This window comes from Homo sapiens, chromosome X, assembly GCF_000001405.40.
Source record: "Homo sapiens chromosome X, GRCh38.p14 Primary Assembly".
NCBI lineage: Eukaryota > Metazoa > Chordata > Mammalia > Primates > Hominidae > Homo > Homo sapiens.
The window spans coordinates 94,706,812-94,729,958 of record NC_000023.11 but is presented as its reverse complement, the minus strand read 5'-3'; positions in this window follow the sequence as shown (position 1 = coordinate 94,729,958).

Sequence of the window (23,147 nt, the reverse complement as noted above, 5' to 3'; positions counted from 1 at the left end):
GTGAGGTTGTAGCCCCCACACAGAGTCCCCACTGGGGCTCTGCATAGTGAATCTGTGAGAAGAGGGCCACCATTCTCCAGACCCCAGAATGGTAGGCCTACTGACAGCTTTCACTGTGCCCATGGAAAAGCTGCAAATACACAATGTAAAAGCAGCTGGGAGTGGTGCTGTATCCTGCAAAGACACAGAGGCAGAACTGCCCAAGACCATGGAATCTCACTTCTTGCATCAGTGTTACCTGGATGTGAGACATGGAGTTAAAAGAGATCATTTTGAAGCTTTAAGATTTAATTACCACCCTGTTGGATTTTGGAATTGCATGGGGTCTGTGGCCTCTTTGTTTTGGCCAATTTCTCCCATTTGGAATGGGAACATTTACCCAATTTCTGTATTTCCATTTTATCTTGAAAGTAACTCACTTCCTTTTGTTTTTACAGGCTCACAGTTGGAAGGAACTTGACTTGTGTCAGATTTGACTTTGGACTTGGATTTCTAAGTTAATGCTTCGGGGAACTGTTGAGAAGGCATGATTGGTTCTGAAATGTGAGGACATGAAATTTGGGAGGGGACAGGGTAAGAATGATATGATTTGGCTCTGTGTCCATACCCAAATCTCATTTTAAATTGTAACTCCATGTATCAAGGAAGAAAGCTGATGGGAAGCGATTGAAGTATGGGTGCAAATTTCCCCATGTTGTTCTCATAATATTGAGTGAATCTCATGAGATCTGATGATTTTAAAAGTGGCAGTTTTCACAGTGCTTGCACTTCATACACTCTTGCCTGCCACCATGTAAAACATGCCTTTGCTTTTCCTTTGCCTTCTGCCATGATTGTAAGTTTTCTGAGGACTCCCCACCCATGTGGAACTGTGAGTCAACTAAATCACTTTTCTTTATAAATTACCCAGTCTCAGGTATTTCTTTTCTTTTTTTTTGAGATGGAGTCTCACTCTGTCGCCCAGGCTGGAGTCCAGTGGCACAAACTTGGCTCACTGCAACCTCTGCCTCCCAGGTTGAAGTAATTCTCCTGCCTCAGCCTCCTGAGCAGCTGGGATTACAGGCATGCACCACCAAACGCAGGCTAATTTTTTGTATTATTAGTAGAGATGTGGTTTCACCATGTTGGCCAAGCTTGTCTCAAACCCCTGACCTCAGGTGATTCACCTGCCTTGGCCTCCCTAAGTGCTGGGATTACAGGTGTGAGCCAACACACCCAGCCTCAGGTATTTCCTTATACCAGTACAAAAACAGGTTAACACAATATCATACAATATGACCAAGTGGTATTTATTTCTGGAATGCATGAATGTTTCAATAAATGAAAATCAGTCATTCTTATATGCCACATTACAGAATGAAGAAAAGCACATTACCGTTTTAATGCAAAAGTTATTTGACAAAATTCAATATCCTTTTATAATATCACTCAACAACCTACAGATCTAGGAAAAGTGCTTCAACAAATAAAGGTCATATGTAAAAGTGGGTAAATGATTAAGAAAATGGGCCTTGATTTTAAATAAATATGGGTTCTCTTTTACTGATAGTTACTTGAACAAATCATTTACCATCACTTTCTTCATCCGTATAATGCATATAATCAATGTACCTATTTCACTGTGGGCAGTTTAAATACAATAATACATGCAAAATACCTGGTACTTTTGAAACAGTCAGTTAAAGTTAGTTATAATTATTAGTCATTATTGTTTTGAACATACTCAAAATCCACAGCGTACCCTCTGGCTCCAAGTTATTTACATTTTTTTTCACGTGCAAAATACATTTACTCTTTCTGAAGTCTCCACCACCACCCAAAACATCTCATTCCTTTACATAATTTGCTTGAAATTTAGAATTCTGGTACCTAAAGGGGATCCAGATATGAATGAGGCTTCCAAAGTTTAGTTTCTATTTATAGCTCCTCAAATGTAGTTTCTGCTTATACGTCTGTTTACTAAAGAGACAGTTATCTTGCCAACATAGTCTATATGCAATAGTGGCATAGACATAACATAACATCTCTAAACCACTTTGTTTTAAAAGGAAAAAAATTGGGAAGCAGAAAAAAGTCCCTTTTCCACAGAAACTCTTAAATTCATCCAGGCACATATTGTAAGGTCTTTCATTAGGACTCAGTCTTACTTCATCCCAAGAGTAATTATAAGTAATGTTTAACTCCTCTCTGTCTCATTCTACTTTTGATGCTAAATGCAGCATTTGTTTTCAGTTACATAGTTTAATCAGCCTCATTCTCCTGGTAGAATTTTAGGGTCAAAGCCATCATTTCTTCATGTGTTGTTTCTCTTTTTTTTTTTAGTCCAAGCTTGCAGAATTTCTGCCAACCTAATTTATCTTCAGCCTGGGGTATTCTTTGAATCTTATTGGGATTTGTCACAGTAGAAAAAAGTCACACTTAATTTTTTTTAAAAAAAACTAAAACGTTGTCTACCTTGGGCTTCCATTGAGTGTACTGAGGGACAACATCTTTGAATATCTTAGAAGCCATATTATTTAATTGAATTTCTATGTGAAGCACCACCTTCCTAGGTCTTAACATAAGATTTTACAGATTTACCTTTGGCTTCATTTTTAGATTATATTTTCTTAAGTGTGATGTTTTCTTAGAAGCCATTCTATAATGTTATCACTTTTTAATATCTAAAGAGGCTAGGAACTTTCAAAACCAACAACTATTGGCTCTGCTTTGCTTAAAAGCTCTTTCTTCAATGATTTTCAGGTGACTACTCATCCTGGTTTTTCTGAAACTGGGAAATTCTCTGGGATGTTGGATTTTCAGTGTTAAAACTAGGGCAAGCTGGCCAGGCGTGGTGGCTCACGCCTGTAATCCCAGCACTTTGGGAGGCTGAGGCAGGTGGATCACAAGGTCAGGAGATTGAGACCATCCTGGCTAACACGGTGAAACCCTGTCTCTACTAAAAATACAAAAAATTAGCTGGGTGTGGTGGCAGGTAACTGTAGTCCCAGCTACTCGGGAGGCTGAAGCAGGAGAATGGCATGAACCCAGGAGGCAGAGATTGCAGTGAGCCGAGATCACGCCACTGCACTCCAGCCTGGACGACAGAGCGAGACTCTGTCTGAAAAAAAAACAAACAAACAAACCTAGGGCAAGCCTGGAAAAACAGGATGGATCATCATCCTAAGCTTAACTTTCTCCTAAAATAATACAAAAGGCAAGAAGTAACTAGGAGTACCTTCAACACTTTTCTCAGGAAATCTCTTTAGCTAAATCACCGGTTTATTACTTGAATTTTATGCTTTGAAAATTATTGCTGGTAACATTCTTGCTAAACTTTCAATCTCTATGAAACAATGGTATCTTTTTCTCCAGCTTCTAATTACATTTACTTCACAGCTTTTGCAAATACTCTCTGATAGCCTCTCTAAAGGCCACCAGGCTTCTAAAAACCTCTTTAGAATTCTTTATACTTTCACTAATACTCTCCTATTTCACTAATACTCTCCTATTCCCTTTCCACTCACTACACAGTTATTTTCTTTTTATTGTGACTTAATTTCTCTTTGATTCCCTTTTAATTAATAGTGGTTGAGAATTGGGCACTGGAGTCAGATCCTCTGAGTTCATATCACAGTGCTCTGTCTTGCAAGTTGTCCTTGAGCAAGTTCCTAACTTCTCTGTGCCCAGGACTCTGCATTGCAGTACCTATATCCTAAGGTAGTAGCGAACATGAAATATAAAGGATTTTGAAACTGCCTGGAGCCTTGTAATAAGTGTTAGCTGTTGGTGATTATTATTTTTTTAAATTTATTTCAATGGGTTTTTGTAGCACATTTGGTGTTTCATTACCTGGATAAGTTTTTAGGTGATGATTTCTGAGATTTTGGTGCACCCATCAACAGAGCAGTGTACACTGTACCCAGCGTGTAGTATTTTATTCCACACACTGCTCCCACCCTTTCTCCCAAGTCCCCAGAGTCCATTATATTACTCTTATGCCTTTCTGTCCTCATGGGTTAGCTCCCACTTGTAAGTGAGAATGTACAATATTTGGTTTTCCATTTCTGAGTTACTGCCCTTAGAATAATGGGCTTCAAATCCATCAAGGTTACTGTGAATGCAATTATTGTGTTCTTTGTTATGGCTGAGCACTGAGTAGTATTCCATGGTGGGTGTGTGTGTGTATATATATACACACACACCCACCATATAATGACACTTCCTATGGTTCATGTAATATACACATATATATGTGTATATATATGTGTGTATATAATATACATATATGTGTGTATATTTTATATATATATATATATATATATATATATGTATATCTCACATTCTCTTTAACCACTCATTGATTGATGGGCATTTGGGCTGGTTCTATATTTTTGCAATTGCAAATTTTGCTGCTTTAAATATATGTGTGTGAGTATCTTCTTCGTATAATGACTTCTTTTTCTTTGGGTAGGTACCTAGTAGTAGGATTGCTGTGTCAAATGATGGATCTACTTTTAGGTATTTAAGGAATCTCCACACTGTTTTCCATATTGATTTTAATTGTTTACATTCCTACCAGCAGTGTAAAAGTGTTCCCTTTTCACCACATCCATGCCAACATCTATTATTTTTTAATTATTGCCATTTTTTTTCAGGAGTAAGGTGGTATTGCATTGTGGTTTTGATTTGAATTTCCCAAATCATTAGTGATGTTGAGCATTTTTTCACGTTTGTTTGCCATTTGTATATTTTCTTTTTGATATGCTGTTGGATTCAGTTCACTAGTACTTTGTTGAGGAATTTTGCATGTATGTTCATCAGGAATATTGGTCTATAGTTTTCTTATTTTGTTATGTCCTTTTGTGGTTTTGCTATTAGGGTGACACTGGCTTCCTACAATGATTTAGGGAGGATTCCCTCTTTCTCTATCTTTTAGAATAGTGTCAGTAAAATTGTACCAATTCTTCTTTGAATGTCTGATAGAATTCAACTGTGAGTCTGTCTGGTCCTGGTCTTTTGTTTGTTAGTAACTGTTTAATTACCATTTTAATCTTGCTGCTTGTTATTGGTCTGTTCAGAGTTTTTATTTCTTCCTGGTTTAATCTAGGAGAGTTGTTCATTTCCAGGAATTACCCCATCTTTCCTCTAGGTTTTTTAGTTTATGCACATAAAGGTGTTCATATTAGCCTTGAATAACCTTTTGTATTTCTATGGTATTGGTTGTGATATCTCCCGTTTCATTACTAAGTGATCTTATTTGGAGTTCCTCCCTTCTTTTCTCAGTTAATCTCACTAATGGTCTATCAGTTTGATTTATCTCTTCAAAAAAACAGCTTTTTGTTTCATTTATCTTTTGCATTCTTTCTTGTTGTTTCAACTTTATTTAGTTCTGCTGTGTTCTTGGTTATTTCTTTTCTTCTGCTGGGTTTGGGTTTGGTTTGTTCTTGTTTCTCTAGCTTTTGGAGATGTGACTTTAAATCATTTATTTGTGCTTTTTCAGGCTTTTTGGTGTAGGCATTATATGTTATAAATTTCCTTGTTAGCACCACCTTGGCCATATCTGAGAGGTTTCAATAGGTTGTGTCATTAATATTGTTCAGTTCAAATAATTTTTAAATTTCCATCTTTATTTAATTGGTGATGCAACAGTCATTCAGGATCAGATTATTTATGGCAGATAAGAGGCAAGACCAACTTGCAGCTCCCACTTGGATGGACAGAACCGCTTGTGGAGACACACATCATGTACTTTTGCTCAAAGAATTACTACGGGAACATACCAGGAAAGCTGAGAGAATCCACAGATTTTTTTGAAGGAGGTGCACTGCCATTGAAGGGTCCATGGGACAGCCAGGGAACTGTGAATTTGCTTGCTTTCTCAGCTGGGAGGCTTGTAGCCTAGGCTACGTTCTCAGCCCTGCTCACTGGATGCCTGGAAATTAGCTCAGTGCTGTTGGGAGGGCACAGTGGGAATGAGACCAGTCTTTTGGGCTGTGAGCTGCGTGAGAGCTGGGTGAGGCCTGTGGCTGCCAGGTTTCCCCCACTTCCTTGAAGACCTGTGTGATGCAGCATAGGCAGCCATAATCCCCCTGGGAACATAACTCCATTGGCCTGAAAGCCGCACCCTCATGTCCCACAGCAGCCACAGCAAGCCCTGCCCAAGGACAGTCTGGGCTCAGACATGCCTAACCCTATCCCCACCAAATGGTCTTTCATGGTCTTTCTCTACCCTCCCTCGTGGCCAAAGACAAAAGACATAATTCTTGGAAGCTCCATGGCCTGCCCACTGCCTGACCCTAGAGCCAGCTTATATCCGCCCTATACTACCAAAGATATTTCATGCAAATGGACACCAAAAGCAAGAAGGAGTAGCAATTCTTATATCAGACAAAAAAACTTCAAAGCAACAGCAATTTAAAAAGACAAAGAGGGACATTACATAATGATAAAAAAAAAAGACTAGTTCAACAGGAAAATATCACAATTCCAAATATATATGCAACTAACACTGGAGGTCTCAAATTTATTAAACAATTACTACTACATCTAAGAAATGAGATAGACAGCAACACAATAATAGTGGGGGACTGCAATACTCCACTGACAATACTAGATAGGTCAGTAACACAGAAATTCAACCAAACAACAATGGACTTAAACTACACCCTAGATTAAATGGGCTTAACAGACATTTACAGAGCATTTTACCCAACAACTATAGAACATACATTCTATTCATCAGCACATGGAACATTCTCCAATATAGACCATATGATAGGCCACAACACAGGTCTCAACAAATTTAAGAAAATCAAAATCATATCAAGTACTCTCTCAGACTACAGTGGAAAAAATTGGAAATCAACTTCAAAAGGAACCCTCAAAACCATGCAAATACATGGAAATCACTGCCCAGTTCTAAAGCTATTCTCGCATTTATATGTATTTTATATGGCATTACTCCAATTTGGGGTATTAAAATTTGTATTAGTTTTCTTTTGCTGCGTAATAAATTTTCTCAAAATATAGCAGATTTAAATACTAAGCACTTATTATCCCACAGTTATTGTGGATCAGGAATTTGAGAGTGACTTACCTGGGTGGTTTTTGCTCAGGGTCTCTCATAAAGTTGCAGTTAAGATGTCAGCTGTGGCTGAGGTCATCTTAAAGCTTGAGATGAAGTAACATGTTGCTGGAGGATCCACTTCAGTGGAAGTGGCTTACTTAAATGGCTTTTGGCAGTAGGTCTAAATTTCTCACCCACTATTTGCAGGAAGGTTCAGCTTCCAATTATGTAATAGAGGTTATGGAACGCGTGTTTATTCCCCTTTGCCATAATAACAAATTACCAGAAACTTAATGGCTAAAAATAATATTCATTTATTATCCCACAGTTCTGTAGGTTAGAAGTCTGGCATAGGTATCACTGGACTAAAAATCAGCAAAACAGTGTTCTTTACTGGAGACTCCTGGAAAATATCTGCTTCCTGGCTTATTTATATTTTTAGTAGAGTTCAGCTTCATGTCATTTTAGGACTAAGATCCCCATTTCTTTGCTCACTGTCAGCTGGAGGCTGTTCTTAGTTTTTATAGAATTTTCTTCAGTCCTTACACATAACACATAAATTTCAGAAGCATAAACAGCAATTTTTCTCCTGCTGACACAACTTTCCTGCTTCCTCTTCTGCTTTTAAGGTTCCAAGTGATTAGATAGGTTCCACTTCAATAATCAAAGAAATTCTCCCTAGTTTAAGGCCCACAACTTCAATTATACTTTCAAAAGTTTCTTTGCCACATAACAATAAATTCACAGGTTCTGAAAATTAGGCCATGGAAATCTTTGGGCACTTGTTAATCTTATGACCTCAGAAGACATTCCAGAAGAAGGTATATTTAAACTGAGATCAGAAGGATGACTACTTTTTACCCAGATGAAGGAATGAGAATAGAAGTAGAGAAAAATGCTTCATATTAGGATGTACATTGGAAAAGCTAAAGTTTATTTGTTCTCAGTAAATTATCATTATGCACGTATTATCCTGTTATTACTAGTCCAATTATTAAAGTCAAATCTATATTCATAGTTGCAAAATCTCAATGTCTTCAAGGAAAATAAAACCACAAATGAGAAATGCATTAAATGATATTGTAAACCCAGCCTTCACCTCACACAGTTTTTCACACATTATTTGGACTTAAACCTATGTCCTAAGTCTATCATTATATCTACTACGTTGAAGATATTTTTCTATAAGTTGAAATATTAACTGTAATAATATGATGAGGAAAAATACTACAAGAAAAATATTTTTAGCTTTTTTTATGATGCAAATATAACTGTAATGCATAAAATTTATGGTCCTTAGATATAAGTAAAAAATTACCTGAATCAGCGAAAAATGCTGAGTACTCTTTCCACTTATGTTCAAGTTAGTGATGCTGATTTGGCTTGAAAAACCTGCCATTGCATTAATATTTGTTCCTCTTTATATAACTTGATTTTAATTAAATCTGGGGACATTTGCTCAAATATAATTAGAAACATATTTTATATATTTTAAGGATGTAACTTTCTATACCTAACTCTCTGGAAATGCAATATATAAGCTATTACTAAATCCAAATTTTAAAATGTACTCTCACATGTTTATACAGTTTAGGTTAGGAAGTGATGTGGAAGTGGAGGACAGAATGATTTACAGTGTGACCATACTTAGTTGGTTTTTTTGTTTGTTTGTTTGTTTTGAGACGGAGCCTAGTCCTGTTGCCCAGGCTGGAGTACAGTGGCGCGATCTTGGCTCACTGCAACCTCGCCTCCTGGGTTCAAGCGATTTTCCTGCCTCAGCCTCCTGAGTAGCTGGGATTACAGGTACCTGCCACCACGCCCAGCTAATTTTTATATTTTTTAGTAGAGACGGGGTTTCACTGTGTTGGCTAGGCTTGTCTCAAACTCCCGACCTCATGATCCGCCCGCCTTGGCTTCTCAAAGTGATAGGATTACAGGCGTGAGCCACCGCGCCCGGCCCATACTTAGTTTTTAATAAAAAATTACAGGTGAGAATCTGAGCGTGAATTGGGTAGTTTCTTCATCCATTTGACTTTAACTTTTAAAGAGTTTTGTAGTTCTTCAGTCTAAGTCACAGTATGAATTTTTTTCTTTAATTTATATAACTACTACTTTAATAGTACTAGTAAGAGAAAAATAGGCTTTTGTAAAAAGGGAATATTTCTTATCAATAAAATGTAAAACACCAAGATATTTTTAAAATATGGTTCTATACAATGAAGCAAGTAAAGATAAAATGTTAAATGTAGTCAGAAAAAAAAACATGTACATTGAAGAAAGCAATGGTAAGAATGAGAACTGATTTATCATCAGAAATAATGAAGGTCAGAATACAATAAAATAACATCTCTAAAGTGTTGAAAAGAAAATTGCCCCTCTAAAATTCTACATAATAATCAAAATAATAATAAAATAAAACATTTTAAGGTAAGCTAATACTGAGAGAATGCTTAGCCATCAGGCCAGCATTTGAAAAAATTCTAAGAGAAGTTTTGCAGTATCCATGAAAACAAACATTAGATGCAAGCTTATATCTGAAGAAAACAATTATTAGCACTAGAAAGTGTAAATATGTGAGAGTATAAATTTGTTAACAACTGTTTCATACAAAAATAAATGGGAAAGTAGATTTAGACAGGAATGCAAGGAGCATATAGAATTATACTGTTCTAAGTTTTCATGTTGTGAAGTGTTTTGATGTACCTGATAGTAAGCTATCATAAATAGAAAACTCACATTGTGATTTCTGGAGAAGTCACTAAAAACATGGAGGCAAAACAAAATGTTGATAGAAGGAATGAAGGGAATTAATAATAAATATTTAATTCATCTTAAATAATGTAAGCAAGAAAAAGTAAAGAAATAAAATAATAGATGAACATGTAGACAAAATAATTATATCAATAACTACAATAAATATAAATTTTCTAATATTTCTATTAAAAGCCGAGGTATTCTAGTCTTAGGACCTCTGGTTTTAATAGAAAAAGATAAAATTTATGCTGTCTACAAGAAACCCACTTTTACAATGAAAAAAACAGATCAAGAATAAAAAGATTAAAAGGATCTATAATGAAACTTTAAGCACGAAAACGCTAGGTTGTCTATATTAATTTTATAAAATGTATACTTCAAGATAAAAGTGTTATGATAAATGAAAAGGGGCATTTTACAACATCAAAAATACTTATCATTTGTTTGCTAAGTCTTCTTTTTGATGTTGTAAAATGCCTGTCTCAACAGACACTGGAGTCTACTTGAGGGAGTGCTGGGAAGAGGGAGAGGAGAAGAAGAGAACTATTGGGTACTGCGCTTAATATCTGGGTATTTAATAATGTGTACAACAAACTCCTATGACATGTGTTTACCTATGTAACAAACCTTCACATGTACCCCAAAACCTAAAATTAAAATTTAAAAAAGAAGACATTATCATAAATAGGAGTTATTTGTGTTAGTTTTTTTAGGATAGCTATAACAAAGTATCAAAACCTAAATGGTTTAAGAAATAGAAATGTATTATGTCATAGTTCTGAAGGCTAGAAATTCAAGATCATAGTGTCAGCAGAATTTGATTCTTCTGAATACTGTGAAGGAGAATTTATTCTCTGCATCTCCCCTAGCTTCTGGTGGTTTGCTGACAACGTTTGATTTTCCTTGGCTTCTGCTGCATCACCTTTATCTTTACCTTCATTATTACATGACATTCTCTCTGTGTCTCTGTTTCTGTGACAAAACTCTCTATTTATAAAAAATACCAGTCATGTTAAATTAGGACCCGTCTTAATGACTTTATCTTAATTAACTACAACTGGAATGGCCTGATATCCAAGTAAAATCATTTCTGTGTTTCTGAAAGGATTTCAACACGTGAATTTTGGAAGAAATGCGATTCAACCCATAATTATATTTAAAAGCAGAGCTTTAAAATACATAAAGCAAAAATGAACAGAAAGACAATAAGAATAAAATACATTACAACAGAAACTGCTGCAAGACACAGAATCTAAGAGTTCTCAGGGAAGACCAAAAACAAAAAAGCAGATAAAAATGAGAACACTAGAAAAATTTAAAGAATCTGGCACATATAGCTATAGCAAATATCAAACACAGGCCAACTGCTATCTGTATTACCATAAAACCTCACATTAAAAATCTATTTATCTTATTCTATTACCTGATACATGATATGCAATTATCAAAAAAAATTGCAAGGCATCTTAAAAGACAAATAAAACATGGAGACAAATAAAAGCATCATAACCAGCCTCATCTGTAACAAAGATTTTATAATTATCAGGCAGGGAATTTAAAATAACGATGATAAATAAATTAATAGCTCCAATTGAAGAATTAGAAAATATGCATGAACAGCTGAGTAACAAAAGACAAGAGAATGTAATTCTAAAGAAAAAGAATAAAAAGAAAATTATAGAAATCAAAACCAAAATAGCAAAAATAAAGAATGATTTCTGGCACTCATTTGTGACCTGAGTAAGGCTGAGGAGAGAATAAATAATTTCAAAGACAAGTAAATAGAAAATTCCCAACAGAAATGCAAAGAAAAACAGCATAAAAATAATAAAAAGAGAACATTCGACAACTGTGGTAAATTTTCAATAAGTATACCATACATAAAATGCCAGATACCAATACCAGAGAAAAATAAAGAAAAAAGAGAACGGCAGAAGTATTTGAGGTAACAATGGCCAAGTAGTTTCCAAAATTAATGACACACGTCAAACTACAGATCCAAGAAACTTACAGAACACCAAGAAGTATAAATATCAAAATATGCACACCTAGGTATATCCTATGAAAATTGCAGAAAACCAAAGACAAGGTCTTAAAGAAGCTGGAAAGAGGAAAACTTACCTATAGAATAAAGATAAAAGAACTGCAGTTATCTTCTCATCGAAAGCCATACAAGCAAGAGGATTGGGAAGTGTTAAAGTGTTGAAAAAAATCAGAGACAAAGAAATTGATATCCAGATAAATTATTCTTCAGAAATTGAAATAAAAACAAAAATATTTTTAAAAAACTGAGGGGAAGAAGCATTAACAGCCTACAGGCCATTAAAGGAATGTTAAAATATATTATTTATATAGAAAAAAATTATAGATAGGTCATTCATAAATAAAGAAAAAGCAACAGAGCAGAATAAATAAAGGTAAAATGAAATAATTCATTTCTATTAATTGGACTAAAAGATCAAAGCTTAAAGTAATAATAGTAAGAAGGTATGAGATGATTACATCATATAGATAAGGTAAATAAATTAAGCGATGTAATCAGAGACATAAGGTGGAAATTAGGAGTGCTTTCTTAAATGTAATCTGCACTACACTTGAAGTTATTATAGTGTTATTTGAAGATGGATTTAGATTAGCAAGGTTTTATATTAAAAACTCTGAGTCTTCCAGTACTATGTTGAATAAAAAAGGTAAAAGTGGGCATCATAATCTTCCTAACCTAAGATAAAAAACTTTCAGCCTTTTCTCATTCAGTGTACTATGAGCTGTTTGTTTGTCATTTATGGACTTTATTGTTTTGAGGTACATACCTTCTATACCTAATTTGTTAAGAGTTTTTATCATGAAAGAATGCTAAATTTTGTCAAATGCTTTTTCTGACTTTATTGAAATAATCATAGGTTTTCATTTTTTGTTAATGTAGTATATCAATTGTATTAGTTTGCATATGTTAACCAAACTTGTGTCTCTCTGATGAATCACATTTGATCATAGTGAAAGATATTTTTAATGTGGTGTTGAATTCAGTTTTCTAGTATCTTGTTGAAAATTTTAAAATCTATGTTCATCATGGGTTTGGAGCTTTAGTTGACTTTTTTGTTGTGTCCTCGTCCAATTTTGAAATCAGGGTAATACTAGCCTCATAAAATGAGTTTAGTAGCATCTCTCGCTCTTCGATTCTTTGAAATAGTTCTAGAATTGCTATTTTTCTTAAATGTTTGGTGGACTTTAGCAGTGAAGTCAATAAAGCCCAAACATTTCTTTGATTGCAGAATATTTATTACTAATTCAATTTCCTCACTTGTTATTGGTCCGTTCAGAATTTCTAATTTATTTTAATTTAATCTTTGTAAGTTGTATATGACCAGAAATTTATTCATTTTTTCTGTTATTAAATATTTTGGAACGTAATTATTCATAGTAGTCTCTTGTGATCCTTTGTATTTCTGTGGCAATATTTGTAATGTCTCCTTTTTCATCTCTAATTTTGAGTCTTCACCTTTCTTAGTCTAGATAAAGTTTTTTGATTTTGTTAGTATTTTTTAAAAAACTGTTTTGTTCATCTTTTTTTTTTTTAGTTTCTATTTTCTTTATTTCTGCTCTGAGCTATATTATTTTTCTCTTGTACCAAATTTGAGTTTTATTTGTTCTTGTTATTCTAGTTTCTTGAGGTACATTGTTATATTATTTGTTAGAAATTTTTCATTTTGGCAGGGCACGGTGGCTGACTTCTGTAATCCTAGTACTTTGGGAGGCCACAGTGGGTGGATCAGTTGAGCTTAGGAGTTCGAGACCAGCCTGAGCAACATGGTGAAACCCGCATCTACAAAAAACACACAAAAAATTAGCCAGGTGTGGTGGAGCATGCCTGTAGTCCCAGCTCCTTGGAGGTCCGGGGCTGAGGTGGGAGGATCGCTCGAGTCCAGGAGATCGAGGCTGCAGTGAGCCGAGATTGTGCCACTGCACTGCAGCCTGGGTGACAAAGTGAGACCCTGTCTCAAAAAAAAAAAAAAAAAAGTCTTCTTTTTTGTGACAGTCATTTATTACTATAAACTACCCTGTTAAAACTACTATTGCTATATCCAATAGGTTTTGACACAGTGTTTTGCATTCTTATTTCTCTCAAGAATTGTTTTAAATTTTATTTTAGGTTCATGAGTACATGGACAGATTTGTTATACAGGTAAATTGCATATTGTGGGGGTTTGGTGTACACATTGTTTTGTCAACCAGGACATAAACATAGCACCAGGTAGGTAAATTTTTGATCATCACCCTCCTCCCACTCTCCACCTTGAAATTGGCCCGTGTCTCTTATTCTCTTGTGTCTATATGTGCTGAATGCTTAGCTGCCACTTACAAGTGAGAAATTGCAGTGCTTTATTTTCTGTTTCTGTGTTAGTTCGCTTAAGATAATAGCCTCCAGCTCCAACCATGTTATTGCAAAAGACATGATTTCTATGACTGCATAGTATTCCTTTATACATATACCAAGTTTTCTTTATCTACTCTAATGTTTATGGGCATTTAGGGTGATACCATGTCTTTGCTATTGTGAACAGTTTTGCAATGAGCATACGCACACATGCTTTTTTTTTTTTTTTTTGACGGAGTCTCGCTCTGTCTCCCAGGCTGGAGTGCAGTGGTGCGATCTCAGCTCACAGCAAGCTCCGCCTCCCGCGTTCCCGCCATTCTCCTGCCTCAGCCGCCGAGCAGCTGGGACTACAGGCGCCCGCCATTCTCCTGCCTCAGCCGCCCGAGTAGGTGGGACTACAGGCACCCGCCACCGCGCCCGGCTAATTTTTTTTGTAGTTTTTAGTAGAGACAGGGTTTCACCGTGTTAACCAGGATGGTCTCGGTCTCCTGACCTCGTGATCCGCCCGCCTCGGCCTCCCAAAGTGCTGGGATTACAGGCATGAGCCACCGCGCCCAGCCCACATCTTAAAGGTAGAATGATTTATATTTCTTTAGGTGTATACCCAATAATTAAATTTCTAGGCCAAATGCTAGTTCTGTTCTAGGTTTTGTGAGAAATTATCACACTGCTTTCCACAATGACCTATTAGGTTGGTGCAAAAGTAATTGGGGTTTTTGTCATTAATTTTTTTTTTTTTTGAGACAGAGTCTCACTCTGTCGCCAGGCTGGAGTGCAGTGGCGTGATCTTGGCTCACTGCAAGCTCTGACTCCCTGGTTCAAGTGATTCTTCTGCCTCAGCCTCCCGAGTAGCTGGGATTACAGGCATGCGCCACCACGGTCAGCTAATTTTTATATTTTTAGTAGAGACGGGGTTTTGCCATGTTGGCCAGGATGATCTCGATCTCCTGACCTTGTGATCCACCCGCCTCTGCCTCCCAAAGTGCTGGGATTACAGGCATGAACCACTGCGCCCGGCCCAAGTAAAAGTAACTTTTAATGGCAAAAACCCCAATTACTGTTGCACCAACCTAATAATGTACATTCTAACCAGCAGTGTATGTGTTCCCTTTTCTTCATAACCTCACCCACATCTGTTATTTTTTACTTAGCCATTCTGACTCTTATGACATGGCATCTCATTGTGGTTTGATTTGCATTTCTCTAATGATTAGTGATGTTGAACATTTTGTCATTTGCTTGATGGCCAGATGATTTTTTTTTTTTTTTGAAAAGTATCTGTTCATGCCCTTTACCTACTTTTTAATATGGTTACTTGTTTTTGCTTGTTAAAGTTCCTTTTTCTTTTTCTTTTTTTTTGAGACTGAGTCTCACTCTGCCACCCCCAGGCTCGAGTGCAGTTGGCGATCTCCGCTTGCTGCAACCTCCACCTTCCAGGTTCAAGCGATTCTCGTGCCTCAGCCCCCAAGTAGCTGGGATTACATGCACGCACCACCATGCCTGGCAATTTTTTTTTATTTTTAGTAGACATGGGGTTTCATCATGACGGCCAGGCTGGTCTCAAACTCCTGACCTCAAGTGATCCACCAGCCCCAGCCTCCCAAAGTGCTGAGATTATAGGTGTGAGACACTGTGCCCAGCCTTGCTTGTTAAAGTTCCTTATGGATTCTGGATATTAGAACTTTCTTGGAGGAATAATTTGCAAATATGTTCTCCTATTGTGTAGATTATTTACTCTGCTGATAGTTTATTTTGCTGTGAAGAAGCTATTTAATTTAACTAGATACCATTTGTCACTTTTGTTTTTGTTGCAGCTGCATTTGGCATCCTCATAATACATTTTTTGTCCAGTCTTATGTCTACAGTGTTATTTCCTCGGTTATCTTCCACGGTTTTTTTTGTTTTTGGTTTGTTTTGTTTTGAGGTGGAGTTTCGTTCTTGTTGTCCAGGCTGGAGTGCAATGGTGCGATCTTGGCTCACTGCAACCTCTGCCTCCCGGGTTCAAGCGATTCTCCTGCCTCAGCCTCCTGAGGAGCTGGGATTACAAGCACACACCACCACGCCCGGCTAATTTTGTATTTGTAGTAGAGACGGAGTTTCTCCATGTTGGTCAGGCTGATCTCGAACTCCTGACCTCAGGTGATCTGCCTGCCTTGGCCTCCCAAACTGCTGGGATTACAGTCATGAGCCACCACACCCAGCCCACAGTTTTAATAGTTATGGGTTTTACATTTAAGTGTTTAATCCATCTTGAGTTGATTTTTGTATATGGTATAAGGAGGAGGTCCAGTATTGATCTTCTACATATGGCTAGCCAGTTATCCCAGCAACATTTATTGAATAGTGAGTCATTTTCTCATTGCTCATTCTTATTGACTTTTACAAAGATCAGATGGTTGTTGGTGTATCCCTTTATTTCTGTGCTCTCTATTTTGTTCCATTTGTCTAAGTGTCTGTTTTTGTACCAGTACCATGCTGTTTTGGTTACTATAGCCTTCTAGTGTAGTTTGAAGTCAGGTAAAGTGATGCCTCCAGCTTTGTTCTTTTAGCTTAGGATTGCTTTGTCTATTCGGGCTCTTTATTGGTTCCATATGAATTTTAGAATAGTTTCCTCTAAATCTGTGAAAAATTTCATTGGTAGTTTGATAGAAGTAACATTGACTCTAGATTGCTTTGAGCAGCATGGTCATTTTAACAATATTTATTCTTCCTACCTATAACATGAAATATTTTTTCCATTTGTTTGTGACATCTGATTTTTTCTCAGCAGTGTTTTGTAATTATTGTGGAGATCTTTACCTCCCTCATTACCTGTATTCCTAGTGTGTGTGTGTGTGTGTGTGTGTGTGTGTGTGTGTGTGTGTCTATGTGAATGAGATTGCATTTTTGATGTGGCTCTCAGCTTGGATGTTGGTATATAGAAATGCTATTGAGATTTGTATATTGATTTTGTATCCTGAAACTTTACTGAAGTTGTTTATCAGATTTAAGAGCTTTTGAACAGAGACTATGGAGTTTTCTAGGTATAAAGTCGTATCATCTGCAAACAAAGATAGTTTGACTTCCTCTCTTCTTATTTGGATGCCTTTTTCTTTCTCTTGCCTGATTGATCTGGCCAGGAATTCCAGTATTATGTTGAATAGGAGTGATGAGAGTGGGCATTCTTGTCCTGTTCTGATTCTCAAGAACAATACTTCCAGCTTTTACCCATTCAGGATTATATTGGCTGTGGGTTTGTCATAGACAGCTGTGATTATTTTGAGATGTGTTCCTTCAATGCCTAGTTGGTTGAGGGCTTTTACCCTGAAGGATTGCTGGATTTCATTATAAGATTTTATGTATCTATTGAGATTTGTGGTCACTTTTTGACTATGTGCCTTCTGCAGATGAGTAGAATGTATATTCTGCTGTTTTTGGATGAGGAGTTCTGTAGATGTCTGTTAGGTACATTTGGTCAATCGGTTGACCAAATATTGGTTTTTGTTTTTAGCTCTATTTAAGTGAAGAATCACATTTATTAATTTTCTATGATGCACCAAACTTGCGTCCCAGAGATAAAGCCTACTTGAATGTGGCTGATTAGCTTTTTGATGTGCTGCTGGATTTGGTTTGCTGCTATTTTGTTAAGCATTTTTGCACATATGTTCATCAATATTATTGGACACTTCTTTTTTTTCTTATGTCTCTGCTAGGTTTTCATGTCAGAATTATGCTTGCCTTATAACATGAGTTTGGGTGGAGTCTCTCCCCCTCAAATTTTTGAAATATTTTTAGTAGGAATGGCACCAGCTCTTCTTTATATGTCTGAAAGAATTCACCTGTGAATCCATCTGTTTCAGGGCTTTTTTTCTGATTGGTAGACTTTTTGTTACTGATTCAATTTTGGAACTTGTTATTAGTCTGTTTAGGGTTTCAATTACTTCCTTGTTCAAACTTGGGAGGTTGTATATTTCTAGGAATTTATCCATTTTTGTAGATTTTTCTAGTTTGTGTGCATAAAGATATTTATAATAATGTCTGAGGGTTTCTGTATTTCTGAGGGGTTTATGGTAATGTCACCTTTCTCATTTCTGATTTTATTTTGATCTTTTTTTAGTAGTCTAGTTAGTAATCTATCCATCTTACTTATTCTTTCAATGATAAGCTTTCTAATATTTCTTGAAATCTCCCACCGTTATTGTGTGTTTATCTAGGTTTCTTCATAGGTCTCTAGAAACTTGTTTTATGAATCTGGGTACTCCTCGGTTGGGTCCATATATATTTAAAATAGTTAGGTCTTCTTTTTGAATTCAACCTGTTACCATCATGAAATCCTCTTGTCAATTATGCTCAAAGGCAAGGGAGGAGATGGCATCTAACATGACAATAATGGAAGCAAGAGTCGGGGTGGGGTAATTGTCACACACCTTTAAACGGGCAGATCTCACAAAATCTCACTTACTGTCACACGAGCAGCACCAAGGGCCCAAATACAGAATCTTCTTGGGTCCAAATACCCTCTAGAAGTTTCCCATTGGCTAGGTAAACTAATTAAAAATTTAAAATTAATTAATTAGGTAAATGTAATAGAATAAATGCTTATAAACTTGCAATATAATTTAGGACCTATTATATTAAATTATTAAATAAAATAATAAAATAATAGACATTTATCAAATGTCTGGGTCACTTCCAATTTGTTAAAATTATATTATAGAAAAACGTTTTTATAAATAAGTGTTCTTATTAAAAGGAAATATTTTTGTCTAATGCAAAGGTTACTTAAAGATTATTCCTCTTTTTAAAATAACCAATCTTTTTATTTTAGGACAAACATTGACACACAAGATTTTTTTCTCACATAAAATTACTTTCTTTTAACCATTCTTATTGAAGTAACCTCCTTATATTTATAACTTCCTTTACATCTCTCTTGTTTTATTTACTAATTCATGTTATATTGTTTTATAAATTATCTTTTCCATGCCTGGTTACTGTTTCTCACTTGCAGCACAGGTCAGAACAAACTTTCACATGTTTCAGGTGACTTAAACTTTCTTTTCTAATGCTAAATTCTTCCCTTCCCCTATTCAACTGGCTACAACTGGCTATAGGCAAAAGAAACCCACTCATCCTCCAGTTGCTATCATTAAAATTCATGGAACAGGAAGCATGGGAAAACATAGCCTTATCAAATTATAAGGATTCTAAAAGTTGGGGATTACACCCACATACCAAAGGAAAGCTCATAGCAGGCTCAAGAGGGAACACATGCAAAGTGGCACTGGTGCCCACCCAAGTAAGGCCAGAGATGTCTGGAACTCTAAGATTGGAACCCACAGGAGGATGCTCCATGGGTCCTGCAGACCTCAACCTGCCAAAGGGGATGCCCTTGGCAGAGGTTCTGACATCTAGTATTAAACCCTCCTTAGAATTTTCTCTCGCAGTAGCAAAGTTGCTTGGGGCTACATTTATAGTTTTATAACTCTCATGCCAAATCTTGACACCTTATAATATTTAGCAGAAATAAATATATAACTGCTTGACCAACAAATCTAAACAATAGTGTATGTTGACAATTCTGTAGGCCTTTAGAATTTTATTTTACCAATAATTTAAAAGCCAGATTATTTATTAAAAATTTAATGAAGTCATATGAACTTAAAAATTATTTGCTTATTTACTTAATTTATGAGTACTGCTTTATTTTTAGACCAATATGGTACCTTGTGGCCACAACAAATAGTAAAACACATGTACATACACATAAACATATCTAAGAATACATACACATTCATAAAAAGATTCTGTAGCTTTTATTTTGGAACTCTTGCCATGAGGTATCAATATAAACTCCCCAGTTTAAAACAAAAATAGGTGGATGCCAATAGTGGTCTTTATCTCAACACTAGAAGAAAGGTCCTCAACTGGAAAAAAATTTACATTTTTGTAAGAAAAAAACAATCCTTATGTTTCTTTATAAATCTCACTACATCTTCAATATGGTTTGGCTGTGCCCCCACCCAAATCTCAACTTGAATTGTATCTCCCAGAATTCCCATGTGTTGTGAGGGGGACCCAATGAAGGGTAATTGAATCATGGGGCCGGTCTTTCCCATGTTATCCTCATGATAGTGGATAAGTCTCATGAGATCTAGTGGATTTATCAGGGGTTTCTACTTTTGCTTCCTCCTCATTCTCTCTTGCCATGACCATGTAAGAAGTGCCTTTCACCCTCTGCCTTCATTGTGAGACCTTTCCCAGCCATGTGGAACTATAAATCCAATTCATCCTCTTTCTTTTGTAAATTGCCCAGTCTCAGGTATGTCTTTATCAGCAGTGTGAAAATGGACTAATACAGTAAATTGGTATGAGAAGTGGGGTGTTGCTGAAAAGATAATTGAAAATGTGGATGCAGCTTTGGAACTGGGTAATAGGCAGAGGTTGAAACAGTTTGTAGGGCTCAGAAGAAGACAGGAAAATGTGGGAAAGTTTGGAACTTCCTAGAGACTTGTTGAATATCTTTGCCCAAAATGGTGATAATGATATGGACAATAAAGTCCAGGATGAAGTGGTCTCAGATGGAAATGAGGAACTTGCTGGGAACTAGAGCAAAGGTGACTCTTGTCATGCTTTAGCAAAGAAAATGGTGGCATTTTGCCTCTGCCTTAGAGATTTGTAGAACTTTGAACTTGTGAGAGATGACTAAGGGTATCCGGCAGAAGAAATTTCTAAGCAGCAAAGCATTCAAGAGGTGACTTGGGTGCTGTTAAAGGCATTCCATTTTACAAGGGAAGCAGAGGATAAAAGTTTGGAAAATTTGCAGCCTGACAATGTGATAGAAAAGAAAATCCCATTTTCTGAAAAGAAATTTAAGCTGGCTGTAGAACTTTGCATAAGTAACAAGGAGCTGAATGTTAATTTCCAAGACAATGGGGAAAATGTCCCTGGGGCATGTCAGTGGTCTTCGTGGCAGCCCTTCTCATCACAGGCCTAGAGGTTTAAGAGGAAGAAATGGTTTCATCGTCCGGGCCCAGGGTCCCTGTGCTGTGTGCAGCCTAGGGACTTGGTGTCCCGTGTCCTAGCCACTCCAGCTATGACTAAAAGGGGCCAAGGTACAGCTCAGACCCTGGCTTCAGAGGGTGCAAACCCCAAGCCTTGGCAGGGTCCATATGGTGTTGAGCCTGTGGGTGCACAGAAGTCAAGAACTGATGTTTGGGAACCTCAGACTAGATTTCAGAACATGTATGAAAACACCTGGATGCCCAGGCAAAAGTTTCCTGAAGGGACTGGGCCCTCATGCAGAACCTCTGCTAGAGCAGTGCTGAAGGGAAATGTGGGGTGAGAGACCCCACACAGAGTCCCTACTGGGGCACTGCCTAGTGGAACTGTGAGAAGAGGGCCACCATCCTCCAGATCCCAGAATGGTAGATTCACCAACAGCTTGCACTGTGTGCCTGGAAAAGCCTCAGACACTCAATGCCAGCCTATGAAAGCCACAGGTAGGGTGGCCGTACCTTGCAAAGCCACAGGGATGGAGCTGCCCAAGACCATGGGAACCCACCTCTTGCATCAGTGTGACATGGAGCCAAAGGAGGTCATTTTGGAACTTTAAGATTTGACTGCCCTGCTGGATTTTGGACTTGCATGGGGCCTGTAGCCCCTTTCTTTTGGCTAATTTTTTTTTTTTCATTTGGAACAGCTGTATTTACCCAATGTCTGTACCTCCATTGTATCTAGGAAGTAACTAACTTGCCTTTGATTTTACAGGCTCATAGCCTGAAGGGACATGTCTTTTCTCAGATGAGATGTTGGACTCTGGACTTTTAAGTTAATGCTGAAATGAGTTAAGACTTTGGGGGACTGTTGGAAAGGCATGATTGGTTTTGAAATGAGAGGACATGAGATTTGGGAGGGGCCAGGGTGGAATTATATGGTTTGGCTGTGCCTCCACCCAAATCTCAACTTGAATTATATCTCCCAGAAGTCCCACAGGTTGTGGGAGGGACACAGTGGGAGGTAATTGAATCATGGGGGCTAGTCTTTCCCATGCTATTCTCATGATAGTGAATAAGTCTCATGAGATGTGATGGGTCTATGAGCGGTTTCTGCTTTTGCTTCTTCCTCATTCTCTCTTGCCACCACCATATAATAAGTGTCTTTAACCCTCTGCCATGATTGTGATAACTTCCCCAGCCATGTGGAACTGTAAGTCCAATTAATCTGTTTTCTTTTGTAAATAGCCCAGTCTTGGGTATGTCTTTATCAGCAGTGTGAAAACAAACTAATACAATCTTACTGCCTGACTAGCCTAACTCTTAGTAACCTTAATTCCTAGTAAAAAACCTAATATTGTTTAACATAAAATGTGTGAAAGAAAAATAAATATTGGGTCCCCCAAATTACTAAACTAAAGAGGAAAGTCGAGTTGGGAACTGCTTAGGGCTAACCTGCCTCCCATTCCATTCAAGGTCAACCCTCTGCTCACTGAGATAAATGCATATCTGACTGCCTCCTGATATGGTTTGGCTATGTCCCTACCCAAATCTCATTTTGAATTGTAGCTCTCATAATTCCCACATGTTGTAGGAGGAATGCAGTGGGAGATAATTGTATCATGGGGGTGGTTTCCCCCATATTTTTCTTGTGGTAATGAATAAGTCTCCTGAGAGCTGATGTTTGTATAACAGGAAACCCTTTTCACTTGGTTCTCATTTTCTCCTTTGTCTGCTACCATGTAAGACATGTCTTTGGCCTTTTGCCATGATTGTGAGGCCTCTCCAGCCACGTGGAACTGTGAGCCCATTAAAACTCTTTTTATTTATAAATTACCCAGTCTCGGATATGTCTGTATCAGTAGTGTGAGAACGAACTAATACACCTCCTTTGGAGAGGCTAATCAGAATCTCAAAAGAATGCAACTATTTGTCTCTTATCTAACTATGACCTGTAAGTCCCCACTCCACTTCGAATCATCCCACATTTGCTTTG